Raw genomic sequence first — 10,120 nt, forward strand, 5'->3', positions numbered from 1 at the left:
TGAATTAGTAACAAAAACCTCCCCAAAAAGAAAAGCCCAGAGCTGCATAGCTTCATGTGTTCATTCCACCAAACATTTAAGGATGAACTAATACCAATCCTTCTCAAACTCTTCAAAAAAAAAAAAAAAAATGAACAGGAGGGAACAATTCCAAACTCAATTTATTAGGCCAGCATTAGTCTAATATCAATACCAGGAAAAGACAGCACAAGAAAACCAGAGGCCAATATCCCTGAATAATATAGACACAAAAATTCTCAAGAAAATGCTACCAAAGCAAATCCACCCACACATTAAAAGGATTATACATTGTTGCTAAGTAATATTTATCCCTGGGATACAAATATGATTCAACATATGAAAACTAATATGATACATTAATGGAGCAAATCATGAAAATCATATGATCATTGCAATAGATACAGAAAAAGTGTTAGGCAAAATTCAACATTCTTTCATAATAAAAACTCTTGATAAACTAGGAATAGAAGAAAATTACTTCAAGATAATAAAGACCATATATGAAAAGCCCACAGCTAATATTATACTCAGAGAAAAACAAAGTGTTTCCTCTAACATCAGGAACAAGATGAGGATGCCCACTCTTGCCATTTCCATTCAATATAGTACTAGAAGGCCTAGCCAGAGCAATTGAAGGGAAAAACCAAAAGACATCCAAATCAGAAAGGAGGATGTAAAATTGTAGATGACATAGTCTTATATTAATGTTTATAAAACCCTAAAAACACCATTATAAAAAAATCCATTAAAGCTAATACATGAATTCAGTAAACTTGCAGGTTGCAAAATCAATATAAAAAAATCAACTGAATACCTATACATGAACAAAATATCTGAAAAGTAAATTAGGACAACAATCCCATTTATGTTAGTGCCAAAAAGAGTGAATAAAAAACCTAGTAATAAATCTAACTAAGGTGGTAAAAGACTTGTATACAAAAAGATATAAAACACTGATGAAAGAAATTCAACAAGACAAAAACAAATGGAAAGACATCCTGTGTTCATGCACTGGAAAACTTAATATTATTAAAATGTTCATACTTCCCAAAGAGATCTATAGATTCAAAGCAATCTCTATATTAAAACCCCAATGGCATTTTTACATAAATAGAAAAATATTCTGAAGTTTATATGGAGCCACAAAAACCACCAATAGCCAAACCAATCTTGAGAAATAAGAACAAAGCTGAAAGCCTCGCACTGCCTGATTTCAAAGTACATTACCAAGCTGTAGTAATCAAAAGAGTATGGTAGTCCAGGTACAGTGGCTCATGCCTATAATCCCAGCCCTTTAGGAGGCAAATGTGGGTGGATCACTTGAGCTCAGGAGTTTGAGACCAACCTGGGCAACACAGCAAAACCCTATCTCTACAAAAAATACAAAAATTTGCTGGGCATGGTGGTGTGCATGTGTAGTCCCAGCTATCTGGGGGGCAGGAGGATTGCTTGAGCCTGGGAGGTCAAGGCTGCAGTGAGCCAAGAGTGCACCACTATACTCCAACCTGGGTGACAAAGTGAGAACCTGTCTTAAAAAACAACAAGAGGAGGAGCCAAGATGGCCGAATAGGAACAGCTCCGGTCTACAGCTCCCAGCGTGAGCGACGCAGAAGACGGGTGATTTCTGCGTTTCCATCTGAGGTACCGGGTTCATCTCACTAGGGAGTGCCAGACAGTGGGCACAGGTCAGTGGGTGCAGCGCACGGTGCACAAGCTGAAGCAGGGCGAGGCATTGCCTCACTCCAGAAGCGCAAGGGGTCAGGGAGTTCCCTTTCCTAGTCAAAGAAAGGGGCAACAGATGGCACCTGGAAAATCGGATCACTCCCACCCGAATACTGCGATTTTCCGACGGGCTTAAAAAATGGCACACCATGAGATTATATCCTGCATCTGGCTCGGAGGGTCCTATGCCCACGGAGTCTCACTGACTGCTAGCACAGCAGTCTGAGATCAAACTGCAAGGTGGCAGCGAGGCTGGGGGAGGGGCGCCTGCCATTGCCCAGGCTTGCTTAGGTAAACAAAGCAGCCGGGAAGCTCCAACTGGGTGGAGCCCACCACAGCTCAAGGAGGCCTGCCTGCCTCTGTAGGCTCCACCTCTGGGGGCAGAGCACAGACAAACAAAAAGACAGCAGTAACCTCTGCAGACTTAAATGTCCCTGTTGAAGAGAGCAGTGGTTCTCTCAGCACACAGATGGAGATCTGAGAATGGGCAGACTGCCTCCTCAAGCGGGTCCCTGATCCCTGACCCCGGAGCAGCCTAACTGAGAGGCACCCCCCCCAAGTAGGGGCAGACTGACACCTCACATGGCTGGGTACTCCTCTGAGACAAAACTTCCAGAGGAATGAACAGACAACAGCATTCGCGGTTCATGAAAAACCACTGTTCTGCAGACACCGCTGCTGATACCCAGGCAAACAGGGTCTGGAGTGGACCTCTAGCAAACTCCAACAGACCTGCAGCTGAGAGTCCTGTCTGTTAGAAGGAAAACTAACAAACAGAAAGGACATCCACACCAAAAACCCATCTGTACATCACCATCATCAAAGACCAAAAGTAGATAAAACCACAAAGATGGGGAAAGAAACAGAGCAGAAAAACTGGAAACTCTAAAAAGCAGAGCACCTCTCCTCCTCCAAAGGAACGCAGTTCCTCACCAGCAACGGAAAAAAGCTGGACGGAGAATGACTTTGACGAGTTGAGAGAAGAAGGCTTCAGACGATCAAACTACAAGCTACAGGAGGAAATTCAAACCAAAGGCAAAGAAGTTAAAAACTTTGAAAAAATTTCAGACGAATGTATAACTAGAATAACCAATACAGAGAAATGCTTAAAGGAGCTAATGGAGCTGAAAGCCAAGGCTCGAGAACTACTTGAAGAATGCAGAAGCCTCAGGAGCCGATGCGATCAACTGGAAGAAAGGGTATCAGCCATGGAAGATGAAATGAATGAAATGAAGCGAGAAGGGAAGTTTAGAGAAAAAAGAATAAAAAGAAACGAACAAAGCCTCCAAGAAATATGGGACTATGTGAAAAGACAAAATCTACATCTAATTGGTGTACCTGAAAGTGACGGGGAGAATGGAACCAAGTTGGAAAACACCCTGCAGGATATTATCCAGGAGAACTTCCCCAATCTAGCAAGGCAGGCCAACATTCAGATTCAGGAAATACAGAGAACGCCACAAAGATACTCCTCGAGAAGAGCAACTCCAAGACACATAATTGTCAGATTCACCAAAGTTGAAATGAAGGAAAAAATGTTAAGGGCAGCCAGAGAGAAAGGTCCGGTTACCCACAAAGGGAAGCCCAACAGACTAACAGCAGATCTCTCAGCAGAAACTCTACAAGCCAGAAGACAGTGGGGGCCAATATTCAACATTCTTAAAGAAAAGAATTTTCAACCCAGAATTTCATATCCAGCCAAACTAAGCTTCATAAGTGAAGGAGAAATAAAATACTTTATAGACAAGCAAATGCTGAGAGATTTTGTCACCACCAGGCCTGCCCTAAAAGAGCTTCTGAAGGAAGCACTAAACATGGAAAGGAACAACCGGTACCAGCCAGTGCAAAATCATGCCAAAATGTAAAGACCATTGAGACTAGGAAGAAACTGCATCAACTAACGAGCAAAATAACCAGCTGACATCATAATGACAGGTTCAAATTCACACATAACAATATTAACTTTAAATGTAAATGGACTAAATGCTCCAATTAAAAGACACAGACTGGCAAATTGGATAAAGAGTCGAGACCCATCGGTGTGTTGTATTCAGGCAACCCATCTCACCTGCAGAGACACATATAGGCTCAAAATAAAAGGATGGAGGAAGATCTACCAAGCACATGGAAAACAAAAAAAGGCAGGGCTTGCAATCCTAGTCTCTGATAAAACAGACTTTAAACCAACAAAGATCAAAAGAGACAAAAAAGGCCATTATATAATGGTAAAGGGATCAAGTCAACAAGAAGAGCTAACTATCCTAAATATATATATACACCCAATACAGGAGCACCCAGATTCATAAAGCAAGTCCTGAGTGACCTACAAAGAGACTTAGACTCCCACACATTAATAATGGGAGACTTTAACACCCCACTGTCAACATTAGACAGATCAACGAGACAGAAAGTCAACAAAGATACCCAGGAATTGAACTCACGTCTGCACCAAGCGGACCTAATAGACATCTACAGAACTCTCCACCCCAAATCAACAGAATATACATTTTTTTCAGCACCACACCACACCTATTCCAAAATTGACCACATACTTGGAAATAAAGCACTCCTCAGCAAATGTACAAGAACAGAAATTATAACAAACTATCTCTCAGACCACAGTGCAATCAAACTAGAACTCAGCATTAAGAAACTCACTCAAAACCGCTCAACTACACGGAAACTGAACAACCTGCTCCTGAATGACTACTGGGTACATAACAAAATGAAGGCAGAAATAAAGATGTTCTTTGAAACCAACGAGAACAAAGACACAACATACCAGAATCTCTGGGACACATTCAAAGCAGTGTGTAGAGTGAAATTTATAGCACTAAATGCCCACAAGAGAAAGCAGGAAAGATCCAAAATTGACACCCTAACATCACAATTAAAAGAGCTAGGGAAGCAAGAGCAAACACATTCAAAAGCTAGCAGAAGGCAAGAAATAACTAAAATCAGAGCAGAACTGAAGGAAATAGAGACACAAAAAACCCTTCAAAAAATTAATGAATCCAGGAGCTGGTTTTTTGAAAGGATCACCAAAATTGATAGACCGCCAGCAAGACTAATGAAGAAAAAAAGAGAGAAGAATCAAATAGACGCAATAAAAACTGATAAAGGGGATATCACCACCAATCCCACAGAAACACAAACTACCATCAGAGAATACTACAAACACCTCTACGCAAATAAACTAGAAAATCTAGAAGAAATGGATAAATTCCTCGACACATACACTCTCCCAAGACTAAACCAGGAAGAAGTTGAATCCCTGAATAGACCAATAACAGGAGCTGAAATTGTGGCAATAATCAATAGCTTACCAACCAAAAAGAGTCCAGGACCAGATGGATTCACAGCTGAATTCTACCAGAGGTACAAGGAGGAACTGGTACCATTCCTTCTGAAACTATTCCAATCAATAGAAAGAGAGGGAATCCTCCCTAACTCATTTTATGAGGCCAGCATCATCCTGATACCAAAGCCAGGCAGAGACACAACCAAAAAAGAGAATTTTAGACCAATATCCTTGATGAACATTGATGCAAAAATCCTCAATAAAATACTGGCAAACCGAATCCAGCAGCACATCAAAAAGCTTATCCACCATGATCAAGTGGGCTTCATCCCTGGGATGCAAGGCTGGTTCAATATACGCAAATCAATAAATGTAATCCAGCATATAAACAGAACCAAAGACAAAAACCACATGATTATCTCAATAGATGCAGAAAAGGCCTTTGACAAAATTCAACAACCCTTCATGCTAAAAACTCTCAATAAATTGGGTATTGATGGGACATATCTCAAAATAATAAGAGCTATCTATGACAAACCCACAGCCAATATCACACTGAATGGGCAAAAACTGGAAGCATTCCCTTTGAAAACTGGCACAAGACAGGGATGCCCTCTCTCACCACTCCTATTCAACATAGTGTTGGAGGTTCTGGCCAGGGCAATCAGGCAGGAGAAGGAAATAAAGGGTATTCAATTAGGAAAAGAGGAAGTCAAATTGTCCCTGTTTGCAGACGACATGATTGTATATCTAGAAAACCCCATCGTCTCAGCCCAAAATCTCCTTAAGTTGATAAGCAACTTCAGCAAAGTCTCAGGTTACAAAATCAATGTGCAAAAATCACAAGCATTCTTATACGCCAATAACAGACAAACAGAGAGCCAAATCATGAGTGAATTCCCATTCACAATTGCTTCAAAGAGAATAAAATACCTAGGAATCCACCTTACAAGGGACGTGAAGGACCTCTTCAAGGAGAACTACAAACCACTGCTCAAGGAAATAAAAGAGGATAAAAACAAATGGAAGAACATTCCATGCTCATGGGTAGGAAGAATCAATATCGTGAAAATGGCCATACTGCCCAAGGTAATTTACAGATTCAATGCCATTCCCATCAAGCTACCAATGACTTTCTTCACAGAATTGGAAAAAACTACTTTAAAGTTCATATGGAACCAAAAAAGAGCCCACATTGCCAAGTCAATCCTAAGCCAAAAGAACAAACCTGGAGGCGTCACGCTACCTGACTTCAAACTATACTACAAGGCTACAATAACCAAAACAGCATGGTACTGGTACCAAAGCAGAGACATAGATCAATGGAACAGAACAGAGCCCTCAGAAATACCGCCGCATATCTACAACTATCTGATCTTTGACAAACCTGAGAAAAACAAGCAATGGGGAAAGGATTCCCTATTTAATAAATGGTGCTGGGAAAACTGGCTAGCCATATGGAGAAAGCTGAAACTGGATCCCTTCCTTACACCTTATACAAAAATCAATTCAAGATGGATTAAAGACTTAAACGTTAGACCTAAAACCATAAAAACCCGAGAAGAAAACCTAAGCATTCCCATTCAGGACATAGGCACGGGCAAGGACTTCATGTCTAAAACACCAAAAGCAATGGCAACAAAAGCCAAAATTGACAAATGGGATCTAATGAAACTAAAGAGCTTCTGCACAGCAAAAGAAACTACCATCAGAGTGAACAGGCAACCCACAAAATGGGAGAAAATTTTCGCAACCTACTCCTCTGACAACAGGCTAATATCCAGAATCTACAATGAACTTAAACAAATTTACAAGAAAAAAACAAACAACCCCATCAAAAAGTGGGTGAAGGACATGAACAGACACTTCTCAAAAGAAGACATTTATGCAGCCAAAAGACACATGAAAAAATGCTCACCATCACTGGCCATCAGAGAAATGCAAATCAAAACCACAATGAGATATCATCTCACACCAGTTAGAATGGCAATCATTAAAAAGTCAGGAAACAACAGGTGCTGGAGAGGATGTGGAGAAATAGGAACACTTTTACACTGTTGGTGGGACTGTAAACTAGTTCAACCATTGTGGAAGTCAGTGTGGTGATTCCTCAGGGATCTAGAACTAGAAATACCATTTGACCCAGCCATCCCATTACTGGGTATATACCCAAAGGACTATAAATCATGCTGCTATAAAGACACATGCACACATATGTTTATTGCGACATTATTCACAATAGCAAAGACTTGGAACCAACCCAAATGTCCAACAATGATAGACTGGATTAAGAAAATGTGGCACATATACACCATGGAATACTATGCAGCCATAAAAAATGATGAGTTCATGTCCTTTGTAGCAACATGGATGAAGTTGGAAATCATCATTCTCAGTAAACTATCGCAAGAACAAAAAACCAAACACCGCATATTCTCACTCATAGGTGGGAATTGAACAATGAGAACACATGGACACAGGAAGGGGAACATCACGCTCTGGGGACTGTTGTGGGGTGGGGGAGGGGGGAGGGATAGCATTGGGAGATATACCTAATGCTAGATGACGAGTTAGTGGGTGCAGCGCACCAGCATGTCACATGTATACATATGTAACTAACCTGCACATTGTGCACATGTACCCTAAAACTTAAAGTATAATAATAATTAAAAAAAAAAAAGCCAGGCACAGTGGCTCACACCTGTAATCCCAGAACTTTGGGGAGGCTGAGGCAGGAGGCTTACCTGAGGTCAGGAGTTCAAGACCAGCCTCACCAACATGGAGAAACCCCATCACTACTAAAAATACAAAATTAGCTGGGCATGGTGGCACATGCCTGTAATCCCAGCTACTTGGGAGGCTGAGGCAGGAGAATCACTTGCACCCAGGAGGCAGAGGTTGTGGTGAGCCGAGATCATGCCACTGCACTCCAGCCTGGGCAACAGAGCGAAACTCTGTCTCAAATAAATAAACCATATATTAAACAACAACAACAACAAAAAAAAAACAAAACAGTATGGTAAAGGCATAATTATAGACATACAGAGCAATGTAACAGAATGGAGAGCCCAGAAATATATCCAAGTATATATGGTCAGCTGATCTTCAACAAGGCTGTTATGACTACATAATGGGAAAATAATAGTCTCTTCAAGAAATGGGACTAGGAAAACTGGATAGTCACATAGAAAATAATGACGCATCTCACACCATATACAAAAACCAAACTCAAAATGAATTCAAGACATAAATGTAAGAACAGAAACTATAAAACTCCTACAAAAAAGTAGGGGAAAAGCTCCTTGACACTGGTCTTGGCAATTATTTTTCAGATATGACACCAAAAGCACTATCAACAAAAGCCAAAACAGACAAGTTGGACTATATCAAACTAAAAAGCTTTTGCATTACCAAGAAAATCAGAATGAAATGACAATTTATGAAATGGGATAAAATATTTGTAAACCATATATTTGATATGGGCTTATCTTCAAAATGTATAAGAAATGTCTATAACTCAATAGTAAAAAATAAAACAAAAAAACCAAAACAGTAATCCAATTGAAAAATGGGCAAAGGACTTGAACATACATTTCTCCAAAGATGACATACAAATATACCTGGCCAACACGTATATGCAAAAACATTCAAAATCACTAATCATCAGGGACATGAAAATCACCACCACAATGAGGTATCACCTCAAACCTGTCACAATGGCTATTTAAAAAACAAGACAACAAATATTGGTAAGAATGTGGAGAAATTAGAACTCTTGCATACTGTTGGTGGGAAGGCAAACTGGTACAGCCACTATGAGGAAAACGTTATGCAGGTTCCTCAAAAAATTAAAAACATAACTGTCATATAATCCAACAATCCTGAGGTGTTTTGTTTTTTTTTTTTTTCAAAAAATCGAAGTCAAGAGCTCAAATATTAACACTGCTATGTTCTTTGCAGCACTAGTCACAATAGCCAGGATGTAGAAATAACCTAAATGTCCATCATCAATAAAGAAAATGTGGTACATACAGTCAATGGACACTATTTAGGTGTAAAAGGAAATTCTGCAATATGCAACACATGGATGAGCCTTAAGGATATTATACTAAGTGAAATAAGCCAGTGACAGTAAGACAAATAATGCATAATTCACTTATATGAAGTATATAAAATAGTTAAAATTGTTAGAATCAAAGACTGTAAATGGTGGTGGCCAGGGGTCAGAGACAGGGAGAAGTGAGGAGTTGTTAATAAACAGGCATAAAGTTTCAGTCCAGCAAGTTGAATAAGTCCTAGTCATCTGCTGTACAACCTTGTATCTACTGTCAACTATATCATATTATACACTTAAAAATCTGTTAAGAGGGTAGAACTCAAGTATTCTTATCAAAATAAAAATGGGTTTCAAAATAAAATAAAAATGATATGATACCAGAACTGAATCAGGTATTTTACAACCTTGATAAAAGAATATATGAACAAAATCCACGTGTTAAGCCATGGGACTATATTAAATGAGTTCATACACAAATTTCTAAGCACACAATAAATGCTCAAGAATGTTAGTGGTATTACCGTTACTGTGGTTGTTTATTGTTGTATTTTAATGCCTAAAGAAATTCCTCAAATAAAACTGGTGGTGTTGCGAGGTGCTTGAATATTTAATATTTTCTCTCTACAGTTCAGTACTTTTTCTAGTAACCAGTTTCCTGGTTCTAATAATATAATCATACGTGTTTAGATGGGCCTGTGCAACCTAACTGGGCTACCCTGTTGCTGTACCACCACCACCACTCCCCCATCCACCTTTATTGAGTGCTTTTGATGTGGGCATTAGGATGTTCCAGATTCAGTTTATTTAGATACCTGATTCAACGGTGACCAACACAGTCAAAGATACTTCACACAGATAAGATTCAAATAAAAGGGTTAGATAATGTAGATTATATATGATTTTAAATCCCACGTATGATTTTAAATCTCATCCACTAATTATTGAATGGTGTTCGTTTCATTCTTCAGGAGTTTAAGATCCCCTTTAAAGTGTTTTTAAGTATATGTGAATTATTATGT

At 39.5% G+C, this 10,120-nt stretch overlaps 1 annotated feature.

Annotated features, from left to right (window-relative positions):
- Positions 1,238-1,739: an enhancer, noted in NCBI's record as "H3K27ac hESC enhancer chr14:63102949-63103450 (GRCh37/hg19 assembly coordinates)". NCBI's record gives its function as "activates a minimal SCP1, AML or CMV promoter by ChIP-STARR-seq in naive H9 embryonic stem cells {active_cell/tissue: H9 hESC(naive)}" and the evidence as "EXISTENCE:reporter gene assay evidence [ECO:0000049][PMID:30033119]".

The sequence above is a fragment of the Homo sapiens genome, chromosome 14 (genome assembly GCF_000001405.40).
Source record: "Homo sapiens chromosome 14, GRCh38.p14 Primary Assembly".
Classification (NCBI taxonomy): Eukaryota; Metazoa; Chordata; class Mammalia; order Primates; family Hominidae; genus Homo; species Homo sapiens.